This window comes from Homo sapiens, chromosome 21 (assembly GCF_000001405.40).
Source record: "Homo sapiens chromosome 21, GRCh38.p14 Primary Assembly".
NCBI classification, from domain to species: Eukaryota; Metazoa; Chordata; class Mammalia; order Primates; family Hominidae; genus Homo; species Homo sapiens.
This window is the reverse complement of record NC_000021.9, coordinates 28,951,575-28,966,345: the sequence shown is the minus strand read 5'-3', so window position 1 is coordinate 28,966,345 and position 14,771 is coordinate 28,951,575. Positions and strand designations below refer to the sequence as shown.

General features: G+C 36.4%; 1 protein-coding gene across 6 annotated transcripts in view; it reads left to right on the top strand.

Moving 5' to 3' along the window:
* The window catches only part of LTN1 (listerin E3 ubiquitin protein ligase 1), a 64,734-nt gene that overhangs the window by 26,532 nt on the left and 23,431 nt on the right, over positions 1-14,771 (top strand). For 3 of the 6 annotated variants that reach the window (NM_015565.3, XM_047440741.1, XM_047440740.1), the window contains 8 exons: positions 440-481; positions 5,640-5,829; positions 6,649-6,888; positions 7,807-7,960; positions 8,870-9,014; positions 9,398-9,584; positions 12,970-13,129; positions 14,082-14,186. In NM_015565.3, the coding sequence (NP_056380.3) occupies positions 440-481; positions 5,640-5,829; positions 6,649-6,888; positions 7,807-7,960; positions 8,870-9,014; positions 9,398-9,584; positions 12,970-13,129; positions 14,082-14,186 (1,223 nt within the window). The other 3 variants (XM_017028317.2, XM_047440742.1, NM_001320766.2) reach the window with 3 other exon arrangements.

The window sequence follows — 14,771 nt, the reverse complement described above, 5'->3', positions numbered from 1 at the left end:
AACTATTTGAATAATAGATGAGTAGAATGAGCCTGCTTATTGTTTTCTGGTTGTTTCTTCACTGTGAGTGTCAATTTTAGGACAAGCAATATATTCTTGATCATGATTTGGGAAGTATCTAGGGCTGCTGGGTAGATGTTCAGCAGTACCAGGGTGACAAATACTTGTAATTAAAAGGTGAATTCTTTTAATCTATACATTTAAAAAGTTGGATAAGAACATTTTAGTTTTGTATTGGTTACATGGGTACTTCATTTACTTTTTAAAAGTTTTAGCTGGGCATGTTGGCGCATGCATGTAGTCCCAGCTACTCAGGAGGCTGAGGTGAGACATTGGCTTGAGCCCATGAGTTCTAGACTAGCCTGGGCAACATACAAAACCCCATCTCAAACAAAAAGTTGTTCTAGCAGATTGTTTCTAACTCTTTTTCTTTTTTCAGGTGGACTTGAAATGGAATTCTCTTCTTAAGATTATTGAAAAGGTATCTTAGGGATTTTTTTTTCTTTTTTTTTTTGTATTTATGGGAATAGAAATATTATAACCGTAGTCCTATTTACACAATAAATATGGTCAGATAGTCAGGTTCTGTGTTAGAGAACTTCCTCATTATTGTAACTTTCTTCCTATAATGTGGGAAGATATTTGTTCTTTTCCTTTCCTGTAGTAGTATTTTTCTGGTTAGTAATATTAGGGAAAAATGAACAGGCTCTGGAAAATCCAGTGTTTCTTTCCTAGAAGGTAACAAAGGCAGATTTAAACATTTTATTATCTTTTAATTAAAGCTACAACTTTCTGCTGTTATTCTAGTTACTTTTTCTACTGCAGAAATGGATTGGAGGTTCTAGCTTTGGGTAGAACACATGAGAAAATTAAGTTTTCTCTACTCTGGAACACTATGTAGGTAAATAAAAATCTTCCAGTCTTTGTGTGATTGCCACTGACTAAGAAAATTAGTGGTAAGAATAATGAAAAGAAATGAAAGAACATAAACAATTTACAAATTTTCAAAACGGCTTAAGTATTCTTTCCTAATGAGGATGTAAATGTTATAACTAACACTTTTCCAACTGTAGAGATGTTATGACTAGCTACCTGAAATTCTTACTCCTTTTTAAAGCATTTTCAAATTATTTTTCTGTTTTCATAGCTAACTCTTGAATTTGCAAGTTTTTTTCTATTTTTTAAATTGTAGTAAAAAAAACACATAGCATGAAATTTACCATCTTAACCATTTCTAAATGTACAGTTCAGTAGCATCAAGTATATTTACATCGTTGTGCAGTTTCCATAACTTAATTCATCTTGCAAAACTGAAACCCTGTATCCATTAAACAGTAACTCCCCATTTTCCCCATAGTTTTATTTTTACAAAATAAATACAGAATATTTATTATTTTTCAATGAGGAATATGACTTATCAGGCACACTATTTGCCTTAGTTTATCTAGTGCCTTCTCTCCCTGTAGCCAAGTTACATGAAGAGCTAAATTATCAGAAAGCTCCTTGATAAGCCTTGATTCAGAGCAGGGGGTGCAAATAATTTGATAAGAGTAGACTAATGTATCCATTTCCAACTTAGGAATGTACCTGCCGTGAAGTGCAAATACTCACATCTGTGTGGAAGAAAATCCTCTTCCTGAGCAGTGATTGGAAGTTCCTAGCCAGTGTTTGCTGCCTGCGCTTCCATGACTCACTAGCCTCCTCATCTCCTTACAGCTAGGCAGCTTCTTTCATTAGATATGTTCATACTGGCATATCTCAGAGACATCGTAAGTTCAGTTCCACACCACAGCAATAAAGCAAGTTACACAAGTATTTTGGATTGCCAGTGCATATAAAAGTTATGTGTACACTACAGTCTATTAAGTGTGCAATAACATTATATCTGAAAACCAATGTACATATCTTAATTTAAAATTAATTTATTGCTAAACAGTGCTAATGATCATCTCAGCCTTCAGCGAGTTGTAATCATTTTGCTGATGGAGAGTCTTGCCTCAATGTTCATGGCTGCTGACTGACCAGGGTGGTGGTATCTGAAGGCTGGAGTGGCTGTGACAATTTCTTAAAATAAGGACAATAGTGCAGTTTGCTGCATTGATTGACTCTTCCTTTCATGAAAGATTTCTCTGTAGCATATGATGCTGTTTGATAGCATTTTACCCAAAGAAGAACTTCTTTCAAAATTGGAGTCAATCCTTTCAAACCCTGCCACTGCTGTATCATCTAAGTTTATGTAATATTATAAATCCTTTGTGGTCATGTCAACAATGTTCACGGCATTTCACCAGGAGTAGATTCCACCTCAAGAAACCACTTTCTTATCTGTAAGAAGGAACTCCTCATCCATCCACATTTTATTATGATATTGCAGCATTTCAGTCACATCTTGAGGCTTCATGTCTCATTCTAGTTCTTTGCCTCTTTCCTCCACATCTGCAGTTGCTTCCTACACTAAAGTCTTGAACCTCTCAAAGTCATCCATGAGGGTTGGAATCAGCTTCTCAACTCCTATTAATGTTGCTATTTTAGCCTTTTCCCATGGTTCATGAATGTCTTAATGGCATCTAAAATGGTGAGTTTTTTCCAGAAGGTTTTCAGTGGACTTTGCCCAGATCCATCAGAGGAATCACTGTCTATGGCTGCTATAGCTTAATGAAATGTATTTCTTAAATATTAAGATTTGAAAGTTAAAATTACTCTGATTCATGGGCTGCAGAATGGATGTTGTGTTAGCAGGCATGAAAACAACATTAATTTCCTTGTACATCTCCATCAGAGGTCTTGGGTTACCCAGGTGCATTGTCAATGAGTAGTAATATTTCTACTTATTGTAGAATTTTTTTCTTTTTTTCCTTCGTTTTTCCAACAGTGGGCTTAAGATATTGAATAAACCACGCTATAAACGTGCTGTAATTTAGTCCTTGTTATTCCACTTATAGAGCACAGGCAAAGTAGATTTAGCATAAGGTTAAGAACCCTGGGATTTTTAAAATGAGAAATGAGCATTGGCTTCAACTTAAAGTTACCAGCTATATTAGCCCCTAACGAGAGTCAGCCAGTCCTTTGAAACTTGGAAGCCAGGCATTGACTTCTTGCTAGCTATGAGAGTCTTAGATGACATCTTCTTCTAATATGTGACTGTTTTACCTCCACTGAAAATCTGTTTAGTGTAGCCACCTTCATTATTGATCTTAGCTAGATCTTCTGTATAACATGCTGCAGCTTCTACATCAGCACTTGCTGCTTCACCTTGTACTTTTGTATTGTGGAGATGGTTTCTTCTTTTAAACCTCATGAACCACCCTTTGCTAGCGTCAGTCTTTTCTTGTGCAGCTTCCTCACCTCTCAGCCTTCATAGAATTAAAGAGAATTAGGGCCTTGCTCTGGATTCGGTTTTGGATTAAGGGAATGTTGTGGCTCGTTTGATCTTCTGTCTGGACCACTAAAACTTTGTCCATATCAGCAGTAAGTCTATGTCACTTTCTGTTACTCTTGGGCTCACAGGAGTGGCACTTTTAATTTCCTTCAATAACTTTTCCTTTGCATTCACAACTTGGCTGTTTGGCACAAGAGGCCTAGTTTTCCACCTGTCTTGGCTTTCAACATGCCTTCCTTGCTAAGCTTCATCATTTCCAGCTTTTGTTTTAGAGAGATGTGTGACTCTTCCTTCCACTTGAACATTTAGAGGCCATTGTAGTGTAATTAACTGGCCCAATTTCAGCATTGTTGTGTCTAAGGGAATAGGGATGCCTAAGGACAGAGAAGAGAGATTAGGGAATGGTCGGTCAGCGGGGCAGTCAGAACACACACACAATATTTGTTGATTAAGTTTGCCCTCTTATATGGCAATGGTTTGTGGCACCCCCAAACATTACAATCGTAACATCAAAAGTCACTGATTGCAGATCACTATAACAGACATAATAATGAAAAAGTTTGAAATATTGTGAGAATTACCAAAATGTGACACAGAGACACAAAATGAGCATATATTGTTGTAAAATGGTGCCAATAAACTTGCTCAATGCAGGGTTGCCACAAATCTTCAATTTTTAAAATTGCAGCATTTACAAAGCCCAGTAAATATTAAGCCCAATAAAACAAGGTATGCCTGTACATTATGTTGAATTTCTTATCTTGCTAACTCGAGAGGCATTTTATTCAGAAGTTTATTTTGTTTACCAGGATTCTGCAGAATAGATTGGTTTTACTTGGCAAACTACACTGGGAAAACAGGTATCACAGCCATCTAAACTCTAAAGTAGTTTTTCTTGTTTTATGGAACCTTAATACTTTATGAGCAGAGTCTTAAAATCATCTTTTTTTTTTGAGACAGAGGCTCACTGTGTTGCCCAGCAGGCTGGAGTGCAGTTGCAACATCTCGTCTCACTGCAACTTCTGCCTCCCGGGTTCAAGTGATTCTCCTGCCTCAGCCTCCCGAGTAGCTGGGATTATAGGCACCTGCCACTATGCCCAGCTAATATTTGAATTTTTAGTAGAGACAAGGTTTCACCGTGTTGGTTGGTCAGGCTGGTCTTAAAGTCATCTTTTAAAAAAACCATCAATTAAAAAACAGATTTGAGTTTTGGAACCAGAAAAGGACCTTAGAGATTTTCTAAGTTAATCTTTCCAACTTTCAAATTAGGAGATAGGCCCACGCTGATTAAAAGATTTGTCCAAGGTCATAGGCTAGTTAGTGATAAAGCTTGGACTAAAATATAAGCTCTGGTTACCTACAATTTTTAAATAAAAGGATAAAGTTTTCCAAGCACTACCCAATCTGCACTTGGATTTTTTTTTTTCTTCCAGATTGCTTTGAAATGAACCAAGTTGCAAATTCCTTACTTCTCAGCCCTTAAAGCAAAAGAAGCTCTGGGAACATGGATCAGCATGCTTTAGGGGTGGATTTACAGCTTTTTTTTTTCTTGCTTCCCCACCTCATGAAAATAAGTTGCTGTCAGATATCTGGCCCTAGTAACTCTATATCAGAGAATTTGGGGAAATAAATCCCATTGTTCATATTGAAGTAATTTACCATTATTATACACTAATTGTTCTTTAATTTTAGCAAAATTAATGAACAAAAATTTATAGAGCATTTATAAATCTATCTTCAAAGTTTATTCATTATTCATTGAACATATCTACAGTGTTGATAGCAGGTATCAAAGAAGTTTAAGACAGTCTCTACTCTCAAGGAACTTACAATCTCATTGGAAAGACAAGATATACACAGATGAAACATTTAAATAATTATACAATCCAGTAAGTGCTTTAGAAATTCAGAGAAAAGCAGTGATCATTGTGGGCTGGAGTGGATGGGGAGACTCCATAAAGTAGGTGGGATTTGTACTGATTTTCAAAGAATGGATGGGATTTTAAGTTAAAAAAAAAAGGGGGGGGTGGGGGAATATTTATGGCTGGGAAGGTAACAGCAAAGCGTGGAAGTGAACATCATACAGGCTTAATGGGGAACAGGGAGGATACCAGTCTTCCTAGAACTTCAGGAGGAGGAGGAGGGGGGATAGAATTGGAGCCATGATAACGAAGGGATAGTAATATGGTACAAGTAATATTTTGGACAGAGAGAGTATTTGATCTTGCTGTTAATCTTTGCTTTAATTTTATGGTTTTAGGCATGTCCTAGTTCAGATAAACATGCTTTAGTAACTCCTTGGCTCAAAGGCGATATCCTTGGTGAGAAATTGGTCAACTTGGCAGATTGTCTTTGTAATGAGGACTTGGAATCCAGGGTATCTTCAGAATCTCACTTCTCAGAAAGATGGACTCTTCTAAGCTTGGTATTATCCCAACATGTTAAAAATGGTAGGACAAATATGGCTTTTGTTTTCTAATGGGGAATAGTCCATTTCTCCTTTGTGGGGGATTGCATGGGGCTCAGCTTATGTGTTATTGGTTAAAAATAACAGGACTTACTCATTCAAATTTTTTTTTTTCTTTTCTTTTCTTTTTTCTTTTTTTTTTTGAGACTGAGTCTCCCTCTGTCGTCTAGGCTGGAGTGCAGTGGTGTGATCTTGGCTTACAACATCTGAGTTCAAGTGATTCTTGTGCCTCAGCTTCCCAAGTAGTTGGGACTACAGGTGCATGCCACCATGCCTGGCTAAATTTTATATTTTTAGTAGAGACGGGGTTTCGCTGTGTTGGCCAGGCTGGTCTCGAACTCCTCACCTCAGGTGATCTGTCTGCCTCAGCCTCCCAAAGTGCTGGGATTACAGGCGTGAGCCGCTGCGCCCAGCTCATTTACATATCGTAATATTGTAAGCACCCTAATTGTTTATTAATCTTCATACCATGACTTAGAAGATATTTAATATTTTTAGTTCTATATCCTAAAGGGTTTTTTTTTTTTAGCTCATAAAGTTGACTCATGACTTAAAGGGTTTTCAGTGTACAAACTTGCTCACCCTAACTGTAGACCATTTCTGTTTTCTACTTAATTTAAAACTGCCTTTTTTACTTGAGGGCCTTTATGTGTGAGAGAATGTGTTGATTTGTTGATAAAATTTTGTCTAATACATTTTAAAATCCAGGAAAGACCCATAGAATTATTAATCCAAAGTAAGATATTTAAAAATACACGTTAATATTTTTATTTTTTGTCTGTTTGAACCTTTTTTTCTCCAGATTACTTGATTGGAGACGTATATGTTGAAAGAATCATTGTTAGACTTCATGAAACTTTATTCAAAACAAAGAAATTATCAGAAGCTGAAAGCAGTGACTCATCAGTGTCTTTTATCTGTGATGTGGCCTATAACTATTTCAGCTCAGCGAAAGGATGCTTGCTAATGCCATCATCTGAAGATTTATTATTAACTCTCTTTCAGTTATGTGCTCAGAGCAAAGAAAAAACACATTTGCCAGGTAATAGCCTACTGCTCAAATGTTTTGTTGGGAATCTCCGGCTCTGACCTTCATAGTGAGTGTAAGTGCCCAGGCTTTATTAATTGAATTATAATGTGTTTGAAAGTTTAAAGCATTTTGAGTAAAGGGCTACAGTCTTAAACACTTTCAGCTCTAGAAAGCAAGTTAAAGATGTACGTAGATGTTATTTCTAAAGATCTCACTTGATATTCAAAGAAATTTGGAATGAGCCATAATTGATTAGGTGGAATCTTAGTCCATTCAGTAGTTCTGGCATGTTCCTTAATTTCTTGATGTCTTAGTTTCCTCATTTGTAAAAGGGGGATAATAATATCCCTTTATTATAGTAAAAACATTCAATCTTTGGTGTATATCAAAATAGAATTGAAATTATCTTTTTAAGGACTATATTCTTGCCTTATATGCTAATTCAGACTTATTTGTGAAAGGAACATAAAAAAATACTATCTATAGAGAGCTCTCCTCCTCCCACCCTTCATTCTTTCCTTTCTTTTTTTCTTTCCTTCTTCCTTCCTCTTTCTCTCTCTCTTTTTTTTCTGCCCATCATTGGCTACCAACCCTTTCTTAAATACTAACTTCTGTATTTGGAAATGGTGTAATAATTTTTTTAAAAATGTCTCCAAAAGGACAACTCTTGTAAATAAGTTCAAGCATAAAAAATGTAACTTTAAAAATCTTACCATTTTACATTTATATGATACGTGCTAGCTTGTATGATTGCATGTTTATGACACAGTTGCTTTGTTTGGCAATTGAATTTTGAATGGCAATTTAAAATTTTTCTTTTTTAAATGGTATTTAAAAAAATCTCAGATCTGTAGAGTTGTTTCAAACATTTTGTGCTGATGAGAGTTAATTCAGTGAGATTACAAATTCCTGTTGACATCTTGATTTTAGATTTTCTTATCTGTAAACTGAAAAATACTTGGCTCTCTGGTGTAAATTTATTGGTTCATCAAACTGACAGTTCATATAAAGAGAGTACCTTCCTACATTTGTCTGCTCTGTGGCTGAAGAACCAAGTTCAGGCTTCATCTTTGGATATCAACAGGTAACCTTTTTTGAGCTTGGTTTCAGTGTCTCTTTTATACTTGAACAGTGTCCTTAAATTAGATTCCATGATCAGTGTGAGTGCCTATGAAAAATGACTTGTAGGGCTCGTCCCTATAATCCCAGCTACTCAGTAGGCTGAGGTGGGAGGATCAGTTGAGACCTCCAGGAGTTTGAGACCAGCCTGAGCAACATAGTGAGATGCCATCTCTTAAAAAAAAGAGAAATGAAAAGTGACTTGTTAGGTAACAAATCTACAGGACTCTTATGAAAAGACCCAAACGAATTTTTCCAAAACCATTTTGTTTCAATGACCATCCATTTAAACTGCCAGTTAATTGAAGGATAATTTGCTATAACATACCTGCTGGACTCATAACTTATAGACAGTAAAGTGATGGTGATACTATCCTTTGTCATAGGCTGGTGTGCATTGTAGCCTCTCATGGTCACCACATGTACTGATTGTTCTTGGTTATTTATTTTTTGGGGACAGGTAGGCAGTGTTTTAAGATGTTGAATTGCAAGTATATTTTACCTCTCATACCTAAATCCATATAATAAAGGAGAAGAGAGAATGCATTTAGAGGATATTGGGTTTAGGTAAAATAGTGCTGCATTTCATAAGGTAGCTGTATTTCTGAAATACCTGGTCTGAAATAGGTCAGGTCCTCTTCATTCTGAGATAGATAGGAAGCAACACTAGATTTCAAATGATAAATATTGGATTACCTCCCCAGTTTGACTGTTATGTTGGTGTGTCATCGGTGGGGGAATGTCACTTACCTCTTTTTATTTTCATCATTTCTTTTTGTTCAGGTGAGCTATTATAGGGTATTTAATATGTATTGGGGTATTCAAACTAGTCATAGCGTAACTACAACAGTTAAGTTCTCTGCATTATTTTTAGTCTCCAAGTCCTCTTGTCTGCTGTTGATGATTTGCTAAATACACTTCTAGAGAGTGAAGATTCTTATCTTATGGGAGTTTATATTGGAAGTGTAATGCCGAACGACAGTGAATGGGAAAAGATGAGGCAGTCTCTTCCTATGCAGGTATTTTGGAAATTGAAGAGTACATATCTCATTCTGAAGTTTGGATTTCATGCAAGCTTGAATATTTTTATTTTGGGGAAGAAAAACATAAATAAAATGAGTATTTTGCTTTGCTTTGATGTCTTTGTATGCTCATATACTGGATGTTTGCTTTTTGCAAGACACCATTTGACAGTGGCAGTGGGCATGGTACAAAGACTTAGGACCTAGTTCTGTACTTAAGGAGTCTTAAAGAAATACACATGTTGATAATTTCCTGTAAAAGAAAACAAACTTCTAGGTTTCTGTGGTTTTGGTAATAAATATTCTCACAACTTCATTTTTGTTCAGTCTCAATTGCTTAGGTAATAAATAATTTTGTATATAACGTATTCTTTTCACAGTGGTTACATAGACCTCTTTTAGAGGGAAGATTGAGTTTGAATTATGAATGTTTCAAAACAGATTTTAAGGAACAGGACATAAAGACACTTCCCAGCCATTTGTGTACTTCAGCATTATTGAGCAAAATGGTCTTAATTGCACTGAGAAAGGAAACAGTCTTAGAAAATAATGAGCTTGAGAAAATAAGTAAGTATATATGAGTATTTACATATAACATAATGCATGAATGAATATAATTTTGAAATAATCTTGATTATACTGCAGTTTAAATCTTTAATTCAAGAATCTTCAGCTTTCTTTTTCCTATTTTAATGATGAGAACCTTGAAGTTACTTAAGTGGTGAATGTGAAATTGCAAATTAGATACGAATATATTGGAATCTTGCTATAATCTTGTTAACTGTGGATCGTAATTTGGTGTTAGCTACTCAGGCTGTCATGACATCAATGTAAACAGATCCTGTGGCACATACCCTAAAGAAAATGGGTGAGGCTTTGGTGTTTTATCAAGGATTCAGAATTTTCTGTTGATTAAAAAAAAATTGATACCTGATAATTTTACATATTTATGGGGTACATGTGATATTTTGATATATACATAGAATGTGTAGTGATCAAATCAGGCTAAGCAGGATATCCATCACCTCAAACATTTATCATTTCTTTGTGTTGAGAACATTTCAAATCTTCTAGTTATTTTGCAATATAAATCATTGTTAACTATGGTCATCCTACTGTGTTATTGAATACTAGGTCATATATCTTCTCTCTCACTGTATTTTGGTACCCATTCACCGACCTCTCTTCATCCCCTGCTCTCCCTGACCCTTCTCAGGGTAACCATCAGTCTACTATACTATTCTATCTTCATGAGATCCACTTTTTTAGCTCCCATATACAAATTAGAACATGTGATGTTTGTCTTTCCGTGCATGGTTTATTTCATTTAGCATGATGATGTCCAGTTTCATCCATGTTGCTGCAAATGACAGTATTTCATTCCTTTTTTTTTTTTTTTTTTTTTTGAGACAGAGTCTCGCTCTGTTGCCCAGGCTTGAGTGCAGTGGCGCAATCTCGGCTCACCACAACCTCTGCTTCCCAGGTTCAAGTGATTCTCCTGCCTCAACCTCCCAAGTAGATGGGACTACAGGCGCACACCACCATGCCCAGCTAATTTTTGTATTTTTGGTAGAGACGGGGTTTCACTATGTTGGCCAGGCTGGTCTTGAACTCCTGACCTCGTGATCCGCCCGTCTCAGCCTCCCAAAGTGCTGGGATTATAGAAGTGAGCTACCGTGCCTGGCCTCATTCTTTTTTTAATGGCTGAATAGTATTCCATTGTGCATATGTACCACATTTTATATATCCATTCATTCACTGATGGACACTTAGGTTGATTTCATATCTCAGCTATTGTGAATAGTGCTGCAGCAAATATAGGGGTGCAGATATACCTTTGATATACTGGTTTTCTAAATATTCAATGGGATTGCTGGATTGTGTGATAGTTCTATTTTTAGTTTTTTGAAATACTTCCATATCGTTTTCCAAAATGGCTGTACTAATTTGCATTCCTACCAATAGTATATAAGTTCCTATTTCTCTGCATTCTTGCCAGCATTTGTTATTTTTTGTCTTTGTTTTTTTAGAGATGGGGTGTTACTATGTTGCCCAGACAGGTCTTTATCCTGGGCTCAAGCAATCCTCTTGCCTCAGCCTCCCAAAGTGCTGCGATTACAAGCAGTGCCACCATTCCCAGCTTATTTCTTACCTTTTTGACAAGAGGCATTCTAACTGGGGTTTTGATTTGCATTTCCCTGATGATTACTAATATTGAGCATGGGATTTTTTTTTCCTTTCTTGCCGTTGAGTTGTTTGAGTTCCTTATATATTCCTTATGTTAGCCCCTTGTTGGATGAATAGTTTGCAAATATTTTCTCCCATTCTACAGATTGTCTCTTCACTTTGTTGATTGTTTCTTTTGCTGTGCAGAAAGCTTTTAGTTTAACATAGTCCTATTTGCCTGTTTTTGTTGCCTTCGCTTTTGAAGTCTTAGCCATAAAAATATTTGCCTAGACCAATGTCCTATAGCGTTCCTTGATGCTTTCTAGTTGTTTTATATAGTTTCAGTTCTTAGGTTTAAGTCTCTAATCCATTTTGAGTTGATCTTTTTAGATGGTGAGAGATAGAGGTCTGTTTTCACTTTTCTACATATGAATATTCAGTTTTCCTAGCACAATTTCTTGAAGAGGATGTCCTTTCCCCAATATATGTTCTTGGCATTTTTGTTGAAGACTTTGTCAATTGCCTGCAAATATGTGGATTTATTTCTGGGTTCTCTAGTTCTGTTCCATTGGTCTGTGTGTGTCTGTTTTTATACAAATACCATGCTGTTTTGATTCCAATGGTTTTGAATACTTTTGTATTTCATCGGGCTCTAATTTTTTTTCTGGCAAGTGGACGTTCAAATGTTGAACCCTAAGAGGACTTAGGGCCTCAGCAAATTTCCCTGTTTCAACAAATGGTTTAGAATTATAGGTGGTGGAGTGACTTTTACAAGATGGTATTAAAGGTAGAGAATTTGCAGAAACCCTGTATCAGTCTTGTTTGTAAGCCCTCAGCTGTAACACAGTTACTAGAAGGGGGAATATATGCTCTGTGGAAGAAAGTTGAAACACCTCTTTTGGGCAGCCACCTTCACATTTAGTTAAGGGAAAGGAAACAAGCCTGTAGTTTAACATTGCTCACAGGGTGAATCTGTGCAAATCCAAAACTAGTAAGTAGAGTAATAATTTTTTGTGTTACTAATTACAAATTGGCAATATTATTTCTTTAATTTTATCGAGCTCATTAGTCAGATATTATTGTTGTTTTTGTTACCATGACTTGATTAGAGCTGCTTAGCTGGTAAGTGTAGGATTAGATTTTGAACCAGGTCACAATGCTTCTGACTCCAAAAGCTATACATGGCTTTATAAAAGGGAGCTGTGACTGTGTATTAGAAACCTATGATATACCAGGCTTTATGATAGATACTTGGCCATTTAATTATCACAGCAGTCCTGTGAGGTAGTTCGTAGTATCCTAATTGATAACTATTTATATAGCTTGAGAGAGAGATGCAGATTTGAATCCACCCCAATCTGTAATTGAGGCCTCATGTCCTTTTACTGTATCATACTGTCTCCCATTTCTCCCATTTGCCATGAACTTCTCACCTCAGGTCTTGGGTCCCTTAGTTGTTTTTCCTGTCTGGAACTTTTTACCAATTGTGCCAAAATGGTAGGAAGATTCTTTCAGTATCTCTAGTAACTTAGGTTCTTGTCACATTCTTAACTAATTAGAAAAAGGACCAAGTAGAATTTGGGAAAAGGGTGGTATTTTGTATCAGACATATATTCTCAGTTTTCATTGTCCTTGAACATCTCAAAGCAGATTTGAAAAATCAGTTCATAGGAGTTTTGAGATGAGTGGGCACAACAGTGTTAGAAAACAAGGTGGAGAAGTGAAAGTAATTGAAGGGTTTGTTCACAGAGTGCTTTTCATAATTTGGTGCTGTCTCTTCTTTTAGTTGCAGAACTGCTTTATTCACTGCAGTGGTGTGAAGAATTAGATAACCCACCTATTTTTCTAATTGGATTTTGTGAAATACTTCAAAAAATGAATATTACGTATGATAACTTACGTGTACTTGGTAATACGTCGGGCCTTTTGCAGCTGTTATTTAACAGGTAAGAATCTCTTTCAATTTGTTTTTAAAATGACTATGCTACTTCTTTATGGCTTTGCCTTCTGTAAGAGGTAACCCTACTGCATGCTAATGTTTCAGTCAGAGGATTGATCTAAATAATTCCTATTCTTAATAATAAATAGTTTATGAATTCTAAATACTTGATTTAACCTTCTCAGGGGAAGATATTTGTATTCTGCCTGTCTTATTAAATCCATAAATACATACAAGGGTCAGATGACAAAAAAGAAGTAGAAGCTTGTAGAAGTTGTTTTGATTTATCTGTGACTCATCCTCCCAGTGCTCTCAGATTCATCCTTTATCTTACATGTTGTTATAGGTGTGTCTTAATGTTATGACCACAAAGCCCTCTCCCCTAGATTAGGAAGGCAGGTATGAAAACAGTCCTTGTAGAGGTTGTAGTAGTAAGATGTTTAGCTTTTTGAAATTACTGTATTGAACTGCTTTCTTTTTAGGAGTTTATCACTTGCCGATAGTATTTTGAGTATGCTTTGCTGTATCAGAGGACCCAGGCTTCCTTTCCAATCGCATTCTACTTAGTTGACACAACTTTCCTCAGAACCAAAGAACCTCTTTGATTGTTCAACTTAAGCCTGCCTAGGTGTCCTCTGGGAGATGTCTTTTTCCCAGCTACAGCCTCTGGTCTTCAAGCCTAATCTCTAAGATCATCTCCCCTATTGGGACTGAAGAGACTGTGGAGTTGCCTAGGGATGAGAGAGCTCAATACCAGCCTTGAAGGAGTGTTGAAAGCCGAAACTCTCAGCTCTTTGGATAATTACTGGCAGTTGCTTGGGTGCAAAGTCTTAGGTGAATTGATGCCATCACAAGGTGCTTTATTTAATTCTGTAAAAGGAATCCAGCTAGCCAGTGTTTAAACATTTTATTCAGTATGCTTTCAAAACGGAATATAATTTTTTTCTTTCCTTTTTCAGGTCCAGAGAACATGGCACACTGTGGTCTCTTATTATTGCTAAGTTGATCCTTTCCCGAAGCATTTCATCTGATGAAGTAAAACCACATTATAAGAGAAAAGAAAGGTATTCTTATTTAAAATGTTTTTACTTTGTAGTTTACTGTAATCGGTCACTTTGGCAACCCCTAATTAATGAATAATTTCTAATGAATCAAGAAAACAGGTTTAGGAAATGAGGAAATTAACGACTTCAAGGCAAATTAAATTGTTTTAGGTTAGGGACATACCTTTGAATTTATTTATTTATTTATTTTGAGACAGGGTCTCACTCTGTTGCCCAGGCTGGAGTTCAGTGATGCGAACATGGCTCACTGTACCCTCAACCTCCTGTGGTCAAGTGATCCTCCCACCACACCCTCCTGAGTAACTGGGACCACAGGTGTGCACTACCACACCTGGCTAATTTTTTAATTTTGTAGGGATGGTGTCTTGCCAGGTTGCCCAGGCTGGTCTTGAATTCCTGGGCTCAAGCAGTCCTGCTGCCTCAGCCTCCCAAAGGCCTGGAATTACAGGTGTGAGCCACCATGTCTGGCCGACACCTTTTTTTTAAAGTAAATAGTTTTAACTCTATAGCCTTTTGTTGTAGAATTTTATACTGTACTTTTTTTTTTAAGCCAACAGCATTTCATGAACTTGTTTTCTTTTCCCC